The sequence below is a fragment of the Homo sapiens genome, chromosome 7 (genome assembly GCF_000001405.40).
Source record: "Homo sapiens chromosome 7, GRCh38.p14 Primary Assembly".
NCBI classification, from domain to species: Eukaryota; Metazoa; Chordata; class Mammalia; order Primates; family Hominidae; genus Homo; species Homo sapiens.
Genome location: NC_000007.14, coordinates 28,341,792 through 28,363,325, shown reverse-complemented (window position 1 = coordinate 28,363,325; position 21,534 = coordinate 28,341,792). Strand labels below are relative to the sequence as shown.

Sequence of the window (21,534 nt, the reverse complement as noted above, 5' to 3'; positions counted from 1 at the left end):
CATTTAGCCCGATCAAAGGAAAATTATGTGCTTGCCTTCTTCATGGGTCAGGACCAAGAACACCTGCTTCGTGTTGCCATGTTAGGGAAAGACAGGGGAAGAAAAGTGAAGAGAGTTAGTTGTCCCCAGGATGTCACTAATAATGAGATGACCAAACTCTCTCCAGTCATAAATATCCTCCTGAAATATTTGGCTGCTCTACTAATGTCATCCATAATTCTTTCCTTTTTTAAATGGACCCAAAGTGATACACAATGGCTGCTTCTAGTGCTTAGTTGAGCTTATACTTAGCACAATCTTAACTTAGAAAATGCTTTCTCCCCCTAGTGTTAGATATTATAAAATCCTTCCCCATAACATAGCCCTTCAAATACATTTAAAACCCTGTGCACACATGGTCTCATTTAGTCATAAAAACAACCAGCTAGAATAATTACTATTATCATTCCCACTTTCCAGATGAGAAAACTGAGCCTCAGGGGTGTCAAACTTTTAACCAGCTTCATCAGAGACTTAATGATTTTATTTAAAAATATTTGCTAAGCTTGTTTTTCCGATTTTCATGTGTGTGTACCTCTACCCAAGGACGATGAGGATGGTAACTACTGCTACAGGCATGTATAAACACATAATTTGATTTTACAAATACCTATTAATTACAGCTCATACAATTCAATCTAAACTTGGAAAACTGCTAGTGTTATCTATTGAGAATTAGTGACAAAATCAAGAATTGCAATTCTATTTCTTATTTCTGTTCCAAATATTGTCTTTCGTGCCTTTGAAAAATAAAAGCTGTTTAAATCTCTCATGCACTTGAGTTTCACAGGTATATATTTATAAAGAGAAAAGGCATATGCACAATCTATTTTGCAAACTTAAAAATGACTAAAATATTTTAAGCCACTAAACACATGTGATTTCTTACTATTTTTTTCAAAACAGGAAGTGAAGCTTATCAGATTTTTCTTTTTCTAACAGTCATACTTCAGGTCCAGAGAAACAACCTAAATTAAAAATAAGTATTAATTAATTTGTTAATTTCTCTTTTTTGTGCTTATCACTAGCCAGTGCCATTGCTTGGCTGGACTATTCCCAGATGGACACAAAATGTAAGTTTCCATTCTATACAGATATTAAAATAGGGTTTGGCAAACACTAAAGGTAAAATGGGATGAAAAAAGATAGCTTCAAATGTATATTTTACAATAAGTATACTATGTACTTCTGAGAATTTGCTTAAATCAATATTTTAAGTCATATTGTTGCCCAATTCTATTAGCCAAATGTAAAGGGTTCACCACAAGGGAAGAGCTAAAACACTTTGCTAATTTATGTTTATTGATAAGGACCTGGCTGGAGGAAGAAGATTCAACTTTTACTTCAATAAAGAACTTAGAACTTAATATTCCTGCAGTGCTAGTGGGAAAATTACAATTAGAAGCTCTTTGCTGTTTTGTTAGGCTACAAATCCATGCCTCCATCCCCAGCCCCTCTACCAAAAGACACAATACAGAGTGCTATTGTTCTATGCATTGGGTCATTGGTGGGCAAGTGATCAGTCAAGAGTTTTGGCTGCAAGCAACAGAACAAACTCTGGAAATGTATTGAATGCTGTGGGAGCCCTGCTGAGTCCGCAGGAGGCTGAAAAGAGGCCCTGAAAAAGACAGGAACCAAGAGGCTCTATGGAGTTTGAAAGCAGGCCCCAGAGGAATAAACTCAAGCAGGAACCCTGAGGTCAGCAAACTGCTGCATGTTTTTATCACTTCTTCCACTCAAGAGTCAACACCCTGGAAGAAATTATTTGGCCAATGTCAGGTCATATGCCCACCACCTAGCTGGGCTGGGGCAGGGAAAAGGATGTGGCCTCTTTTGCTTCCTTAGAGAGGCATCTGGATTTATGTTGCCACCAAGGCCTCACAATGATTGGAGGGAAGAAATTCTCAAAAAGAAAACTGGTGTGTAGGCAGCCAAAGCAATATGAACATTGACTCATGTAAAATTAGGAAGGGTTGATGATGAAGGACTGCAAATATGTAGGAAGGATTCTAGAAAGAGCCATAACGGGAACACTGAGCATGAAATAGGCTATGAACGCAACATATGCCAGGCACTGAGCTATGAGTTAGTTGCGCTGCTTTATTCAACCTCCGTGCAATAAGTAATCTTATTATTACAGTTATTTCTGTCCTACAGTAAGTTTTTTTTTAGCTGAGGTTTATTAAAATAAATCAGAGGTGTTTAGCCTCAGGACTATTGACATTGGGGGTCAGATAATTTTTTGTTGTGGAGGGCTGTTCTGTGCATTACAGGATGTTCAGCAGCATCCCTGGCCCCTATCTACTAGATGCTGGTAGCACCCTGCCCCTCAGTGGTTACAACTAAAAATGTCTGTAGACATTGCCAATATCCCTGGGGTCAAACAAAGCTTCCCCCAGTGGAGAATCACTGACAAAAACTATTTTTCCCATCACACACCACTAGGAATGATTGCTCCCAGACCAGTACCAACCCAGAACACAAACTGCTAACTATGCTTGTGACAGACTACACGTTTTATAAGGCACTTTCTATTTTTTAAGTGTTATTACATATTGAAAAATTATATATATTTATGGGGCACAAAGTGATATTATATGTATACAATGTGGAATGATTGGATCAAGTTAATTAGCTTATCTATTACCTCAAATTCCATTTATTCCTCCAGTCTAACTGAAATATTGTACCCTTTGACCACATCTCCCTATTTCCCCCACTCTCTGCCTTTCGTAACCACCACAGTACTCTCTGCTTCTGTGAGTCTGACTGTTTTAGATTCAACATATAAGTGAATCTAAAACATGTAGTATTTGTCTTTCTGTGCCTGGCTTATTTCACTTACCATAATGTCCTCCAGGTTCATCCATGTTGTTGAAAATGACAGAATTTCTTTTTAAAGGCTGAATAACATTCCATTGTGGATAGATACCCTATTTTTTAATCTATTCATTCACTGATGTAAACTTAGGTTGATTGTATAACTTGGATATTGTGAATAATGCTACAAAAACATGGAAATGCCAATATCTCTTCAACATACTGATTTCCAATTGTTTAGATATATAACCAGAAGTAGATTGTGGACCATGTGGTAATTCTATTCTTAGCTTTTTGAGGAATCTCCATATGGTTTTTCACAGTGGTTGTACCCATTTCCATTCCCACCAACAGTGCACAACTGTTCCCTCTCCACATTCTCACCAACTCTTATTATCTTTCATCTTTTGAGAATAGTCATTCTGACCGGTATGAGATGATACCTCATGGTGGCTTTAATTCGTGTTTCCCTGATGATTAGTGATGTTGAGCATTTTTTCATATATCTGTTGGCTATTTGTATGTCATGTTTAGAGAAATGTCCCTTCAGGGCCTTTGCCTATTTTTTAAATCAGGTTATTTGTTTCCTTGCTATTGAGTTGTTTGAGTTCCTTATATATTTTGGATGTTAACTCCTTATCAGATATGTGCCTTACCAGTATATTTTTTCTAATTTGTATATTGTCTCTTTACTCTGTCGATTGTTTTCTTTGATGTACAGAAGCTTTTTAAGTTTGATGTAATCCTATTTATCTATTTTTGCTTTCATTGCCTGAGCTTTTGAGGTCCAATGCAAACGATCATTGCCTAGACCAGTGTTGTGTGGTTTTCCTGCTATGTTTTCTTCTAGTAGTTTTACAGTTTCAGGTATGATGTTCAAGTATTTAAATGATCATGAGCTGATGTTTGTATATGGTATGAAATAAGAGTTCAATTTCGTTCTTCTGTACATGGATATCCAGTTTCCTCAACACCCTTTATTGAACAGACTGTCCTTTCCCCATTGTGTGTTCTTGGTATCTTTGTCAAAAATCAATTGGCCGTAAATGCACGGATTTACAAAGTACTTTCACACAGATTATTTCATTAGTGTCTCTGACAACGCTCTTATAGGGGAGGTAAGACAAGTTTGGCTGTCTTCATATTTCTTTTGAGGAAATGCAGCTTCAAAGAGATTGTGATTTGCTTAACATATCTCAACTATCTCTTTATCCAGCCAGTACTTAAAGCTTTTTTTTTTTTATTTGTTTTGTGTGTGTATTCGCTTTTTTGGGTTTTTGTTTGTTTGTTTCGTTTTGGGTTTGGGATTTTTTTCTTCCTTCTTTCCCACCCTATCCAGTGTTTTTTCCACCTACCACAGTTTTACAAATGACAGAATTTAAATTGGGAATAAATTCATTGATCAAAATATTAAAGAGAAACAAATTCTCCTGAATGATTAGCTCCTATATTTTGAAAGAAGTAAAAAGTCAGAAAGAAGAAAAGAAAGGAGAGGGGAAAAGAAAGAAGGAAAAATGAGAATGCATCTGGCTGCCCTGAGGGGTTCTCCTCACCCCTATTAACAACTCCCCAATACGTATACCAAGTCACTTTGCACCTCAAAGAACTAAGGGGGAAGAATCCTTCAGGCTTCATCTCAGGATGGCTCTATATTCCCTCTAACATGCTGAGGCATTGTTTCATTTCTGACTCAGAGGGAGGACTGACTCACAAATACCACTTTACCACTTGGTCTTTCATTGACAGTGTCATGGCCAAGACCAGGTCAAATGTAAGGCAGCTTGGAGTAAGAGATCAGATGAGCTCATGGCCCCAGGCAGGACGGCTGCAGATGCTGGGGAAAGAAAGACTTCGACAGCTGGGATGTTCGTGACTTAAAAGCAAAACAAAAGTTCTGGCTAATTGGCAATCAAGGCAAAGTCTAAAAAGAAAACAACATGCTTTGGTTAACCACCAGAGCTCCCGGCCTGTCCCATCTGCTAATAAGTGGTGACCAACAGTGATATCCAAGAACCACTAATGGTCCTGATGCTGACCGCACACCATCAGTGGTCTCTCCAGCCACAAGTGGCCGTGTCAAGTCCCAGAGACACAGCAGCTGCCTCAGCTGGGGAATGTGTGATGGTTGGGGTCCACAGGTGGGACAGTGGGAGATCTGAGAGTCGTGTGAGCAGGAGTCCCCAGTTAAACCAGCTTAGCAGCTCTTCTCCTTATGTTTTAACCCAGTGTTTATGATAAGGTAGACAGAGCCTGTGAGGTCAGCGGAGCATATTTAAGCCCCCGTTCTGATTGTCAGAGGACATGACCTTGACCATGGTCCTTCATTTCTTTTGGACTTCAGTTGTTGTGCAGACTGAAAAAAAGTGTGTATGCAAGATGCCTCAGACAATGCATGACATACAGTAGGTGCTTAGTGAAGGCTACCAGCTCCTTCACTGTAGAACCCCCAAAACTCGGGCTCTTTTTTCCACACTGGCCTCTTCCTCTGCTATCAATAAGCACATACTAAATCCAATGATATGAGTTTAAATTCTGCCCCCACCCACCTTACACCACCCATAACACCCCAAAATACCCTTTCCTTTCACTTTAAAGATCTTTCCTTTCTTTCATGAACCACAGCCACTTCCAAGAATTCCTTAATAAAAGCTCTGACTTGTGTAGAGTGGTACTAAATGCTATTCCAAGCATTTGCCTCCACAGTTAACTTCTGGCACAATACTGTATTTACTTAGTTCTTGTACATTGAAGAACTCCAATGCATATACTCCGTGTTCCCCAGGAGCATGTGCTAAGTGACATACATCCATGCACACGAAGTCACGCATCTCTAAAGCAGAGAGATAAAAGCCTAGCAGGAAAAGGAAAAGAAGGATTGAGAGTAATTTTATTTTCTTTTTCTTCATTGCTTAAGTGAAAAAAGACCCACGAAAAAAATTTTTCTTTAAAAAAATCCAGATTAATAGAATTCTTATCCAATGACTGCAAACAGCAAAATCCTAAATAAATCATACAAACACTTAAATACCAAATTTACTATACCTCCCTTCATCTTCAACAAGTTATATGGGCAGGTCCAACCTGATTTTCTCCCAGTAAAGACGTCTGCTTGCAAGAAAAGAAAGGAAACTCAGAAACCCTTTCAAATGAAAATGTAAAAATCTGATGGACATTGAAAGTTATTCCCAGAGGAAGCTGCTTTTCAAATAAGAATCTAGATCCATGCTGAAGAAAGATGTGCTGTAGAATTTGGACATCAGCAAGGTGAGATTTAAGAAGCCAGCAACACAGCCTTCCCTTAACTCTCTCTGGAGAGTGGGAAATATTCTTCAATTTAGCATTTGTTTCTTGACCCACACCAGGTAACTCCTTCTGTGGCTTTAGCGAGGGATGCAGGGAAAAAAGAAAGAGGAAAGTGAGTGTGTGCCAGGGCCCTTGGCATTTTTGTCTTATTACTTGTTACAGAACAGCTTCCTCCGCTATATAATCACGTGTGGTAGAGTTGCTGGTTGTTTCCCAGTGTCCATGTTGCCCTTCTTTATGGTGATAACACTGTTAACCCCCAGGAAAGGAGACACACTGTCAGTTCCCTTGCAGCCACAGACGGCCGTGTGACTTAGCTCCGGCTGACGACAAGTGCCATGTGGCAGCATCCAGAAACCTAATTAAGAAACAGTGTGTGTGTGCCCTTTGTCAATTCTCATCCTGTGGCCGAAACACAGCACTCCGTGTAGCAAAGCCACACACCAGGGGCAGCCTGTCTCCCTGCCCCAGGAGTACCACAGCAGCCCTAGGCCATCTACCTGTACTTTTACATGACACATAAAGGAACTTATTCAAGTGATTCCTTTGGGTTTTATCTCACTTGTAGCTGAATGCAATGCTAACCAAGACAACAGGTGAGGGTAGGTTATCACGTTCGCCCCCAAAAGCCTATTGATCGGTCTGCCCGTGGGTTTATATCTGTGGGCCAGCCTGGGTAAAGGATCAACACATGTATCACTTCACCTCTAGTTAAGTGCATTCAGAGTACCAAACCATTGCCTAAAACGACGTTGTAAAAATAAAACCTATTGCTAAGTAGAGAGGGTGTTTCACACAAACCCATGTATGCACACACATCTGTGTGTTATAATACAAATACATACCCACTTCATTGAGATAGCAGCTGTGGAAGTGGAAATCCTTCTTTCCAGCATGCTACATCTGGGTAAACTCCAAGAGCCAATTGCCATTCACTTTGTCGGAGAGTAGAAAATGACTCATTGTATCTAAAATGGGCTTAAGTGCCCCCTGATTTATTTACCTATCTGCATTCAATTAGAAAAGTGCCGTTCTTTCCTATTTATTTATAGACGTCATTTTGGTTATGCTGGTGCTTTACTCTATGTTGTTCACTTCTTCCGAACAGAGAGGCGTGTTTACAAAGCTCTTACCCGTAATTAGTGTCACTCAGTGGAACAAGGCACCTCTGTTTTATACCTGCCACAGCTGTCATGCTCTCCTCACAACGAATTGCCCTGATGGACGACTTGAGTCACTCGTTTCTTCAGAAAGTAGCATTAAAAAGTGTTATTGCAGTGGGCCTGGCACTCAGGGAAGCCATATCAGGTGTTACGCTCTGTGACAGCCCCGAGCTCAGAGAGAGCCTCCTCTTATTACATTTCCAGTTAATTATTCCTGTACTTTTCAATAGCTGCGTGTCATAAAAATGCGGCAGGTAGTCGATTCGGATTAGCTTTATCCTGTCAGGTGATGGCAGACCTCAGATGACATGTTAATCAGTGGCTGTTGGCATGGGTATGCTGTACATGCGAATACCATTTAAGTGGTGGCAGGGGGAGCATTTTTATGGGTATATATTTCATTAGAATTTCAATAAAAGGGCTGTGTCTGTCTGAGAAAAATATAACAGGCTCCACTGCTGTGTTTAATCTTTTCTTTAGGACACTCTTCTATTAACATAAATTGCTTGAAGGAAAAGTATGTTGTAATATTTTTCTCCAAACATAAAGTCTTATTATGATTTTAAGAAATCATGTAATAAAAAAATTTCATGATTCTCTCTACTATGACTGCGGGTGTCTCAGATGAAATCACAGGCCAAATGGACTTTGTTTCATGCCATGCCAAGGGTCAGCAGAAAGAAACTGAGCCACGGCTGAAGGAATCCACCAGACCTCCTCTGTCCTGTCCAGAGCAGGTGCTGCACATGCACGCTTTCATCCCAAAGGGAGCAGGAGCTTCACAGAGCTCTGTCTTGTAACCTGTCACCATAACAGATGCACTATAGAAATGTCCTTCTCTTGCTTGAAGAATCCAGGCAGTGCATACACAGTCAAAATGAAATAGAAAATTGCAAGTCACTTGCATTAATGCATGTGACTTTCCTAGGGATGTTTTCTGCTGCAACGGAAGACATAACCAACAGTGGCTTAAACCAGAGGCACATTTACTGCTTGCTTAACAAGCCATGCGGGGGTGGCTAGGCCCCATTGGTTTAGAGGAATGCTGTCATCTGAAACCCAGGCTCTTTCCATCCTTTTGCTCCATGCAGGCATTCATCCTTACGTCTGTGACTTCACGGTTAAAAGATGGGTCCAGATGTCAGCTTCTTACACAGCCTCCTAGTGAGCTTCTCCCATTATCAACAAGTTAAACTCTCTCCCAGAAGCCTGCAGCCACACTGAGTCACATGGCTACCCCTTGCCAAATGGCTGGGAAAACAAGCATCTGGGTTCTTAAGTCTCTGGGATGTGGGCAAAGGAGGGAAGGGTTGATGAGTCAACCAACAGAGTCTGGCACAGGGAGGGCCCTGGCACTGCAGTGACGTGGGAGCTTGAATTAGGTTGTAACCTTTTGTATTAGTCAGGGTTCTCTGGAGGGACAGAACTAATAGTATAGAGAGATACATATAGAGGGGAGTTTATTAAGCATTAACTCACATGATCACAAAGTCCCACAATACGCCGTCTGCAAGCTGAGGAGCAAGGAGAGCCAGTTTGAGTCCCAAAACTGAAAAACCTGGAGTCTGATATTCGAGAGCAGGAAGCATCAGCATAGGAGAAAGACATAGGCTGGGAGGCTAGGCCAATCTAACCTTTTCATGTTTTCCTGGCTGTTTTATATCCTGGCTGCGCTGGCAGCTGATTAGATGGTGCCCACCCAGATTAAGGGTGGGTCTGCCTTTCCCAGCCCACTGACTCAATGTTAATCTCCTTTGGCAACACCCTCACAGATGCACCCAGGATCAATACTTTGCATCCTTCAATCCAATCAAGTGGACACTCAGTATTAACCATCACGCCTTCCTTCCATACTTAATTTAGACATGCAAGCACTCCTTAGTAGTACACAAATTTATTCTCTATCCTGCTGGCAGAAGGATCGTGCCTAAATTTTATTCTGATCAAGTCCCTCTTCTGCTAAAAATTCCAAATGACTTCCTGCTTATCTCCAGATATAGTCCAAGCTCCTTAATCTGCTTAATAATGTCTTTAATGGTGTCTTACTACCTCTAGAGCTTTGTGTGTCCACTTCATCACCCTTTGTGCTTGACACCTTGCTTATCTGAGCTACTTTCAGTTTTCCTACTGCACCCCATTCTCTCATTTTTTTTTTTTTGAGATGGAGTCTTGCTTTGTTCCCCAGGCTGGAGTGCAGTGGTGTGATCTCTGCTCACTGCAAGCTCCGCCTCCTGGGTTCACGCCATTCTCCTGCCTCAGCCTCCCGAGTAGCTGGGACTACAGGCGCCTGCCACCACACCCAGCTAATTTTTTGTATTTTTAGTAGAGACGGGGTTTCACCATGTTAGCCAGGATGGTCTCGACCTCCTGACCTCGTGATCTGCCCGCCTCGGCCTCCCAAAGTGCTGGGATTACAGGTGTGAGCCACCGCGCCTGGACCCGTTCTCCCATTTTTGTATGCTGCTTCCTTTCCCTGAAACACTTTATCTTATATGTATGCACATAAACTTTTCCACCCGGCTAGTCTTCCTTGTTCTTCACATCTTGCTGGAGATAATGTAACTCATTTCTGAGAAGCCATCACTCACTCCAAGGCCAAGTTAACTGCCCCTCCCATAGATTCTCCTAGAACCCTGTACTTTTCTTTCAGAGTATGGGATCTAGGACAGGACTTTGGAAAGAAAAAGAAGCACTCCTCAAGACCAGCCTGGCCAACATGGTGCAATCCCGCCTCTACTAAAAATACAAAAATTAGCTGGGCGTGGTGGCTGGCCACCCAGCTATTCGGGAGGCTGAGGCAGGACAATCACTTGAACCTGGGAGGCGCAGGTTGCAGTAAGCCAAGATTGCGTCATTAAACTCCAGCTTTGGCAACAGAGCAAGACTCTCAAAAAACAAAAACAAAACAAAAAAAGAAAAGAAAGAAAGAAAAAGAAAAAGAGGCACTTCTAAGGGAAAGAAGAAAGATAAAAATTGAAGAAAATTTTTACCCATTTCTTTCACTTCAACTGACTCCAGGGTCCTATTAAGAGGTAGGCATGTGTTTGCCATAGCCAAGTGGTTTGTGCAGTGGATGAGAACACGTGTAAAGTCTGAATGCCTTGGTTCAAACCCTAGCTTTCCACTTATTAGCTGAGAGACAGTGGGCACATTAATGAACCATTCCAAGACTCAGTTTCTTTGTCTGTAAAATGGAGATAATGATAGCCTCTATCTACAGTAGATGTGGTTGGTTTCCTACTCTACATCTATTCCTTACCTATTGTGAAAGTCTTCTGCAAAAGTCTTCCTACTATAAAGAAAACGAGATGCCAGGAAAAGTTTTTGCCCTCTGCTTCCTCTGGGGATTGACATGAGGAATGTGACTCTGAGATTGTGGCAGTCATCTTGTGACTTTGAAGGGAGCCAGCCCAAAGAGAAACTCACACACTGAGAAGAGCTGAGCAAAAAGAAAGAATCAGGTCCTTAACAGTGTCAAATGATAAATTTACCAATCCTGGAGCTGCCCAATCTTTAAACCTCTTATTACAAGAGAGGTTTCTTTATCACTTACGTAATTTCTGGTTTATGTTTTTCATACTTACAACTAAAAAATATCTTAGGTAATACACTCCCTCTGAGGACTGTAAGCAGAGGTGCGCAGTGCAGGAGCTGGCCCAGAGGAAGCCCTTGATACTTGATGTCAATCATCATTATCACCCAGGGGACTCTTCCATGCCAAGGAAGAGAGACCATTCCCAACACTGCTCAGGCAAGTGCAGATCATTATGGAGGATAAATTCCTCAAAGGAAGGGACCTTGTCTGAGTAAAACTCACTAATTTCCATCATTGTCCAACCCAATGCCAAAGACTCTATGAAAAATGATCAGAATAATGTTTTATTATAACAAATAATTTTTGATGATAACATAGCAGCTCTATGCCTTCAAATGATAACAGAATATTAAGCCTCAAATCATGTCTATTTGGTTTTTTAAAAATAATTTTTTTAAAACAACTAAAATCAGACACTTTAAAACTGGCAATTAAAACTAGTTGCATGTGGTTTCCATGAATGGCCCAATTTCCTAAACTGCTTGATTTATTTGGGGGATGTTAATTTACATTTGTCCCTTTCACTCATCACTATCCCTTTATTACCAAACTTTATTACTGTAGACTATAAATTCCTCTATAGCATATGGACCACATAACTTTCTTGAATACCTAATTAACAAGGATTTTTTTTTTCTAAACCATAATTATAACAAAATATGGTACATTCAGCTTAATTTTCAATGTAATGCTTGAAAGTGCATAGGAAATTCAGCTTCGTGGCTCAGAGATGGGGAAAGCTGCCATGTACACACTGTATTATCAAGAGGTCTGGGAAACAGATGTTCATAGAAGCAAAGGAGAGATGAGGATAATGAAAAAGTATATATGAAATGATATCAATGATTAAAGGCCAGGATGTAGTTCATGCTCATTAATAGATGGGAAGAAAGGAATAGGAAAGGAAAATCTCAGAGTTATCAAAGAACACAAGAGACAGTCTGATCTTGGTGCAGGCAACCTGCTTTCCCCCTTGGCTCCTTTGCAAACATCTTTCTTCCTCCTTCACGTAGTCTAGCAGTATGGATCTGCAAGCACTGGGTGTGTGTCCTGAATAGGAACTATCTCCTGTGAGTGGAAGAGGACATGGAGCACTTTGAAAAATCTATTATTAATAACCATATAATCCTAGGATCATTCTTATAGATTTGTTTCATGAAGATACTTGGGGGAATGGAAGCTATTCCAGAAAATCATATATTACTCCCCAAAATTGAAAATGCCATTTTCACTCTTCCATAGGTTCAGCTCTTGTTTCTCCTTACCATCCCAGCCACTTATCACAGTTACCAACTAATTTATTTGAGAAGAAACAGATATAATCCATCTTTAGAATGCATTTACTTCTATCATTACATAAAGGTGTCAGATGGAAATTCATAAGACTCATTGTATGGATGGCATTCAGGAAAAGCTCAAAGTCCATGGTAACTGTTGAGTCTCTTTTTGTCACAACTGACACAAAGTCCAACTCAAAGAGCCTTCAGAAAATAAAGCAAAATGTATTGGCTCATATGATTAGAAAGCAGAGATAAGGCTGACTTTACAGAAGGCTGAATCTAGCAGCGCAGTTATCACGAGTGATCTGACTTCTCTCCATTTCCCAGCTCTGCCTTCTGCAGCTTGGCTTCCTCCTCCAGCTCCCCACACTCCCCTCTTCTCCTTGCCTACCCTTGAAGCTCAGGGCTCTCCCTGGGATCGCAGAATGAATGTCTGGCCTCCATGCTTACGCACACTATGAAATCTAATAGATTTCATGGAGCAAAGAGAGGAATCTCTCTTTTCCAGAAATTCTAGCAGACGTTTCGTTTGTTTGTTTGTTTTTTGTTTGCTTGTTTTTTTTTCCATCTCAACAGCTACTAGATTAAGGGCCTCTCCCTGAATCAATCACTATAGCCAGAGGAAACAGGTATAGTAATTGGCTGAAGCCAGTTAGTACTCTCCTATGAAGTTTTAAGGAGGCAAAAATTCCACCCACATCACATGATAAAAATGGAGAAAGAGGGCTTTCCCACAAGGAAAGTGAAGGATGATAAGCTGTGAGGAGAAGCAATGTGTGCTGAGCAGGAAGCAATAACACCACCTCTACTGAGGTAGCTTCCCCTCCACAGGCGGCCAGTCTTCTCTCTCAGAGATAGCATGGGATGGAACACGTTGGAGGGTGTTGGAGGAGTAAAAAATGACCTATCTTTAAGATAATCAGAGATATAATTATGAATATGGATATGGATATATTTTCTTAGTTTACTCCTTGTGTTAACCTTTCCCATTTTGACTCTGAAAGACAAAAGTAAACACTTTGTCCTGCATCCCACCAATGATGGCTGAATGCCTGTATCCATAAGGTAAATTCAAGGTGCTAACCTTCCTGTTTAATTGCCTCTATATAGCAATCAGCCTATGACTTAAAAGGCCTTGATTAGAATTGAAAGCAATAATGTAAGTAATTCAACTGCAAATAAAATTAGAATTGGTGATTTTTGTGACATCACATCACCTTTTCCACAGAGCTACCACACAGGAAGCAAAACTCACAGCTATCTCTGAAGTGTCCAGCACAGTGTGTCATGTAGTAGAATAAATATTTGAACAAATAGTCATCTGACTGGATGATTGAAGATACAAACACAAGTATCAAAGTAAAAAGGAGCAATCATCATGGTGACATCCCCCAGTTGTACATCCTCTCCTGGTGTCCCTCCATCGCTGAAATTAAAGTCCCTGGTCAAGCAGGCAACTATTCACACTGACATAGGTTAAAAGTCTATATATTGGACTTAAGTTGTATGGGCCGATGGTGGTCCTACTTCCTTAGTTGGTTCATAGGCCGTAAGAACGTGGAGCAAAAGCAAAAATTATAAAATTATGAAATTTCACACCTCCCTATTGGCCCTTTCTCCTGAAATCAATGCCATGGCTTACATCCCCTCTTTCCCTTTTCCCACCACAACGGGATACTAGATTGAATGGGAATGGGGGGAATTTGTATCAAAAATTGAATTTTAACTCTGGATTTCAATATATGGCTAATTTGACTTGAAAATTAGGGAAAGCTAAGAACGAAAGACTGTTCGATCTGTCTAAACTTCTTCAGATGAAGAGTAAATTAAGAGGGAAAAATTGGAAAATATCGTTGGTGCACTTTGATATTTTCTTTTAACCTTCCTTATAAGGTTATAACTACTTTCCGAAAACCTTGCTGAGAGCTCTCGAAACTTCAAAATTACAGAAAAATCAAACCGTTCCTCTCCACCCAGGCATCACTGATGTGCGGTGGACTGTCTTCACTTAGGATAGTTATTGCCACCCCAGAGCCTGGAATTATGGAGCTGACAATAAACCGACAAGGCCCAGTGCAATTGCATTGGTAAGCCTGCACCTGGCAACGTTTGTCTGTGGAATTCAGTTTCCTACACCACATGTCTTTCCCCAGCACTAATACTATCATTTAAGAAATAAGAACAAGAGCTAGGCCAAAATCAGGGTTGGTTATGCCATAAATAAATTCATGTTTGAAGCAATTTATGCAGCTGCCTGGTGAGCCAGGCCTGAGAGGCTGGCACACACAGCCGCCATGTGGATGGCCTGGCTGGGGAGTGTTCTATGCAAGGAATGTGGCTCTTGGCACCACTTTGTTCTGTACCTGGACTGGCTTGAATTGCTGTCTCATTGCCAGGAAAGCTAGCGGACCTTTGGGAACCCTTTAGGAAAAAGGTCATATATTTCATGTGACTTGTGAATGGAAAGACGGATGCTGTTGGCAAGCCGTTTTTGCTGCCAGATTGGGCATAAGATGAGCATAATGGGAATTTCGATTATACAGAAAGACTCTTTCCACAGACTTTATTTAGTAATAGCTAATAATAATAGCTTCCAAGCATTGAGTCCCTACTGTGGGCCAGATAGTATGCTGAGCATTTTAGACATATCTCTAATTCTCACCACTACCATGCAAGGTGTCTGTGTGTGTGTGTGTGTGTGTGTGTGTGTGTGTGTGAGAGAGAGAGACAGAGAGAGAGAGACAGAGAGAGAGAGAAAGCAGGCGCATGTTGATCATCATTTTATAAATGAGGAAGCTGCTGTTTGGAGAATTGGCATGACTTGTTTAAGGCTAGTAATGTGCCAGCGATGAGATGCAGACTCAGTTTTCATCAGCTCCTGAGCCCACGTTGTTCTCCCTGAGTCACACTATCTATTGCCATGACCTCCTTCTGCCCTTGTGGAATAAGAAGCCACATGGATAACCGGTGATCCTGTGCACACGAAACCTCTGGATTGACCAGTGAGAGTGTTCGGCTGAATAACACAAGGAATCTCGGCACATGAACATAGCCCATGCCCAACCCAGGACAGCACTTCATAGCTCACACCTGGGAACCCTCTCTCCCTACAATTTCCCTGGCCAGGGCACCGGTTCCAGGATGAGTTTTCAAACCAGGTGGCTTGTTTGGAACACAACAATCCCTCAAGGACACCAGTCCTCCCCAGCTCAGGAGGGAGGGCTCTGCTTACAAGTGGTTTGAATTATAGGGAATTCGAATGTGCTCCCTTTTCTTGGACAGAGTCGATGCAACTATGAAATAACCACGTTTTTTAAAGTGTGTTGTCCATATGCTGCTACAGCTGAATCTTTTCATGAACAACAGACTCATGCAGAGTCACATCCCACATGCAAAGTGGACATACATAATCTGTGAAAGGATGCCAAAGTGAAATTGAAGCTATTGCATTGAAATTTCAAGCTATTGAAACCTGGACACTCTGGGGTGGGGAGCGGGGCAGGGTTAGTATTATTTAGAAAAGAAACAACAGCTGTTTAATGACACTCTAAGAATTAGAAAAATTTCATAATTTGCCAAGATGAGCAAAATATTGTGACACATTAAATGCTGGCATCGAAATATGCTTTAATATGAGTTCCTCTCTGCTTACTCACTTCATTTTTTAAAGGGGAAAGATTTTTTGATATAAGAATTTTCTATTCTTGAACTCAATCTAAACACTGTTGTCCTCTTTCCTGCCTTCTAAGTCGTATTAAATCAAAGATCACTTTGAGCTGTGCAGAGAGGGGACAGGTCTCCCTTAAAATAAATTAATCAAAAATCTCCTGCTCTGGTTTTGTAATGTAAAATGGCTGGAACAACACACTGGAAATCTCACAATCAAACATTAATATCAGTCTAAGGGAGAAATTACATCAGTGCCTTAAGAAATACTTCTTAAAATTAACATTGCATGTTTGCACATGATGAGCAGATTTGACTGTTTGAATATTTTTATGGCATGATAAGCCCCAGGGCCACAGTGTACAAGATTTGCTAGAATGAACAGGGAGAAATGCCCACAGATATTCACAGAGCAATTGGGTTCAAGTATGCAAATAGTCTTGGCCCGTTCCTCCCATTCTTTCTTTTCCACTTCCTCCTTTGTCCTTGCCTCTTCTCCTACCAAGGCCAACCCAGTGGTACTTAATATAATATTATGTCTTCCCTTTTATACTGATCAAAGTTCTAATGTCCCCATCCTACTATTCATGACCATTTGGCACTCAGATCTTTCAAGTTGTAGCTGTGGTGGATGTTGTGATGCAGTCCCCAGATCCCTTTACAGGAAGGATGGACGTATTCTCCCAGCTGCTGGGAGCTCAGCCAGAAGATGGCCCTCCGCTCTTAACCACCTTTAAGAATTGCTTCTGTTGAAGAAAAGTGTCTGGCCCAAAGTCCCACCTGCTTCCTGTTGCATCCAGACTTATCAATATAGGGGTACAAAGGCCTGATTCCTGATTCCCCTAACTCAGGGCAATTCTGAGGGGTTCTCTCAAGTTTCCCCATGGAGTTGGCTAAGGCCTTTGTTGGGATGGTGCTATGGCCTGAATGTTTGTGTTCCTCCAAAATTCACATGTTGAAATCCTAACCCCTAAGGTGATGGTATTAGGAGGCAGGACCTTTGGGAAGTGATTAGGTCATGAGAGTGGAGCCCTCGTGAATGGGATTAATGCCATTGTAAAAGAGGCCCCAGAGAGCTAGCTCATTCCTTCTCCCATGTGAGGATACAGTAAGAAGGCACCAGCTACCAACTGGGAACAGGCCCTCAGCAGACACTGAATCTGTGGATGCCTTGATCTTACACCTTCAGCCTCCAGAACTATGAGAAATAAATGTCTGTTGTTTATAAGCCAACCAAATTATGGTAGTTTGTTTTAGCAACCTAAATAGACTAAGACAGATGGTGTCTTAGCCAATTTCTTTTTCTGCTCGATATTCCAATTGCTTCCTTCCACAGGTGTTGATCACAAGAGCATTCCCAAATATGCTGATTTGCATCTCAGAATCTACTTCCCCAGTAAACCCAACCTGGGACACTTAACCCATCACTACGGTGCCCCCCTTCGGATAATGTGGTATCTGTGTCTGAATCTTGAGTTGAACAGAGGTCCCGCCCCACAGTTTGTAGGGTTGGGCTTCTGATGGGCCACCATACTAAAGTTGCCTGTCTCTTGCTGAGGATAAGCCCCTGCCATGCCACCCACCCTCATCACCAGCACTCCCTGTGTTCCTGAGCTCCAATGTGTCACTTTGGGTCACACCACCTCTGCACAAGTCCCTGGATGATAGCTGAGAGCCTGCATGGATTCCTGCCTCTGGCCTATCTTCATCTGGCATCAGCAGCTCCCACCATCCTGTTGGACAATCCCAATCACCTCCCGACTTGCCCAGTGCTAACCATCTGCCAGAACCAACACAAGATATTGCTAACTCCTGCCCCCTTGAACAGTGTGTCTAGTTCAGCCACTGGGCTGAAACTCTGCAATGAACAGGACACACTCCCTGCCTCAGTACCTCTCTGCCTGCAGGACCTGCCCTGCCCTAAAGGATAAATTGAGGTCAAGCCTGGCCCCTCCCAGCACCATTCACCCCATCCCCATCCCCCATCACAACAAACCCTGTTATACAGTAAGTGGCATTGTTAGCTCAGTGGGATCTCAAAAGTAACAACTGATATTGATTTCTAGTTTCATATCATTGTGGTTGGAAACAATACTTGTCATGATTTTGATTTTTAAAACATTTGTTAAGACATGTTTTGTGTTAGTTGTCACACTCAGAGAGAAAAGATAAAAAAAAAAAAAAAAGACTTGTTTTGTGGGCCACCATATGGTTTATCCTGGAGAATATTCCATGTACACTAGAGAAGAATGTATATTCTGCTGCACTTTGATGGAAAGTTCTGTATATATCTATTAGGTCTATTTTGTCTAAAGTGTAGTCCAGTTCCAGTATTTCCTTGTTAATTTCTGTCTGGTTGATCTGTCCATTGTTGAAAGTGGAATGTTAAAGTCCCCTACTATTATTGTATTGCTATCTATTTCTCCCTTCTTGTCCATTAATATTTGCTTTATCTATTTAGGTGCTCTGATGTTGGGTGCATAAATTATTTACAATTATTATGTCTTCTAGATGAATTGTACCCTTTATGCATTAAATAATGTCATTCTGTGTCTCTCGTGGACTTTGTTTATTGAAGTCTATTTTATCTGATGTAAGTATAGCCACCCCTGCTCTCTTATGATTACCATTGGCATGGAATATCTTCTACCTTTTTACTTTCAGTCCATTTGTGTTCTTAAGGCTAAAGAAGGTCTCTTATAATCAGCATACAATTGGATCTTGTCTTTTTTTTTTTAAATCCACTTAGCCATTCTGTCTTTAGATTGGAATCAATTTACATTCAAAATAATTATTGATAGATAAGAACTTACTACTGCCATTTTGTTACTTGTTTTCTGGTTGCAATCTTGAGCAAAAAGAAGAAAGCTGGAGGTATCACACTACCTGACTTCAAAATATACCACAAAGCTGTAGTAGCCAAAACAACATAGTACTAGCATACAAACAGACACACAGAACAGTTGAACAGAATAGAGTCAAGAAATAAATCCATACATTTACAGCCAACTGATTTTCAACAAAGGGACCAAGAACACATGCTGGGGAAAGGACAATCTTTTCAACAAATAGTGCTGAATAAATTGGATATCAACATGCAGAAGCATTAAACTAGACCCGAATTTCTCATCATATGTAAAAATCAACTCAAAATGGATTAAAGTGTTAAATGTAAGACTCAAAACTATGAAACTACTAGAAGAAAACAAAGGAAAATGCTTTATGACATTGGTCTTGGCAAGAATTTTTTGGATAAGACCTCAAAAGCACAGGCAACAAAAGCAAAAAAGGAAACAACATGCTGAAGAGACAACCTACAGAATGGGAGAACATATTTCCAAACTATACATCTGACAAAGGATTAATATCCAGAACATATAATGAACTCAACTCAATAGCAAAAAAAAAAAAAATCAATTAAAACATGGACAAAAATTCTGAATAGATACTTCTCTAAAGAAGACATACAAATGACCAACAGGTATATGAAAAAATGCTCAATATCACTAATTATCAGGGAAATGCAAATAAAAACCACAGTGAGATATCACTTTACTCCACTTGGAATGGCTGTAATAAAAAATACAAAAGATAACAAAGGTTGGCAAGAATGTGGAGAAAAGAGAATCCTTGTGCACTGTTGGTGGCAACAGAAATCAGTACAGTCATTATGGAGTTTCCCCAAAAAGTAAAAAGTAGAATTACCATAGGATCCAGCAATCCCACTACTGGGTATACATCCAAAAGAAATGAAACCAGTATGTCAAAGAAATACCTGCATGCCCATGTTTATTGCGCAATAGCCAAGATATGAAATCAACCTAAGTGTTCATCAACAGATGAATGGATAAAGAAAATGTGGTATATGTAGATATAGATACAGATACAGATATACACAATGGAATATGATTTGGCCATTAAAAATAATGAAATCTTGTCATTTGCAATAATATGAATGAAGCTAGGGAATACTGTGTTAAGTGAAATAAGCCAGGCAGGCACAGAAAGACAAATACTGTATGATGTCACTCATATGTGGAATCTAAAAACCCTGATCTCACAGAAATGGAGAACAGAAAAGTGGTTACCAGGGTCTGGGGATAGCATAAGCAAAGATTGTTCAATGGGTACAAAGTTACGGTTAGACAGGATTAATAAGTTCCGGTATTCTATTGTCCAGTAGGGTGATTCCAGTTAATGATAAAGTATTACATATTTCAGGCCAGGCGCAGTGGCTCATGCCTGTAATCCCAGCACTTTCGGAGGCCGAGGCAGGCAGATCACAAAGTCAGGAGATCGAGACCATCCTGGCTAACACGGTGAAATCCTGTCTCTACTAAAAATATAAAAAATTAGCTGGGCGTGGTGGCGGGTACCTGTAGTCCCAGCTACTCGGGAGGCTGAGGCAGGAGAATGGTGTGAACCCGGGAGGCGGAGCTTGCAGTGAGCCCAGATTGTGCCACTGCACTCCAGCCTGGGCGACAGAGCAAGACTCCATCTCAAGAAAAAAAAAAAAGTATTACATATTTCAAAATAGCCAGAAGAAAGGATTCTGAATGTTCTCACCACAAAGAAATGATAGACTTATAAGACATGCTAACTACCCTGATTTGATCATTACACAATGTATACATTATCAAAACATCACATTGTACCATATCAATATGTACAATTATTATGTGTCAGTTTTTAAAAAGTGACAACTGAAATTGGGATATGGTTTTTTTCCTCCTGTAATCTGTTCCTTTCAAGGCCACACAGGCCCAGCATGAGGTGGAACAGACAGAGGGGTTGTAAATAGAGATGGAGTGATATTCTAGAAACAAAGAGTTACTTTTTAGTATTACTACTGTATAGAAGTTTGAAACTCAAGAAATCTTATGTTTTATAATCTTGCCATTTTAATTCTGCAACTATGATGCTGTATTATAATGAACATTGCAGATGCAAGCATTTGTTAATTGAGTTGTTTGATGTACTGATCACTTACAAATCTCCTTTTTTCTTGAGTATTCAGTAATTTAAACTTTGCACTTTTACCAGTATTAGTACTAATTAGTCTGAATCAATGAAGTTGATATCTTGTATGGTTATTTTCTTAGCCACTCTCAGCTCATGGGAAAAAGGGGGCTTCTGTACCACTTTGATCTTCCTACTAACCCTCATCTATCCTTCCACACCGTGACCAAGGATGATAGCCACATCTAGGCACCAAATGGAAGAGAGGAATGGTGATAATAAATGCATTAATATTTTCACATACTTGAGGCCTTACATTTAAGGATCATGAGTGTCAATGGATATAGATGGAGAAGAGCAGAGGGGGACAGGACATTCTCTGCTTCCAACACAGCTTTCACTTTTTCAAGACTGTCCAGGTGCTGGCTGAGCTGAAATTTTACTAATATAAAATGATTCTCTATCTGTGAACAATTCTGTCTTCCAACCACATTTACTAAGAAGAGCTCCTGATTTCCAAATGGCCTTTTCCTTCCCTTCCCTCTCCTCAAATTATAACTGTCCATCAATATCAACTCAAAACCTCACTTTCTGCACAAAACTTTCCCAGCCCTCACTGCTGACTTTCAAGAAAGGGGTAAAGGTACATATATTCTAGTGAACTTGGGATCAATCCCTTGTAAATTTTAGAATGAATTATTGAATAAGT

At 40.6% G+C, this 21,534-nt stretch overlaps 1 protein-coding gene across 1 annotated transcript in view, besides 1 other annotated feature; it reads right to left on the bottom strand.

Annotated features, from left to right (window-relative positions):
* Positions 1-21,534, bottom strand: part of CREB5 (cAMP responsive element binding protein 5) — a 526,574-nt gene that overhangs the window by 462,569 nt on the left and 42,471 nt on the right. The gene's annotated exons all lie outside the window — the stretch shown is intronic.
* Positions 4,258-4,852: an enhancer, noted in NCBI's record as "NANOG-H3K27ac hESC enhancer chr7:28398093-28398687 (GRCh37/hg19 assembly coordinates)". NCBI's record gives its function as "activates a minimal SCP1, AML or CMV promoter by ChIP-STARR-seq in primed H9 embryonic stem cells {active_cell/tissue: H9 hESC(primed)}" and the evidence as "EXISTENCE:reporter gene assay evidence [ECO:0000049][PMID:30033119]".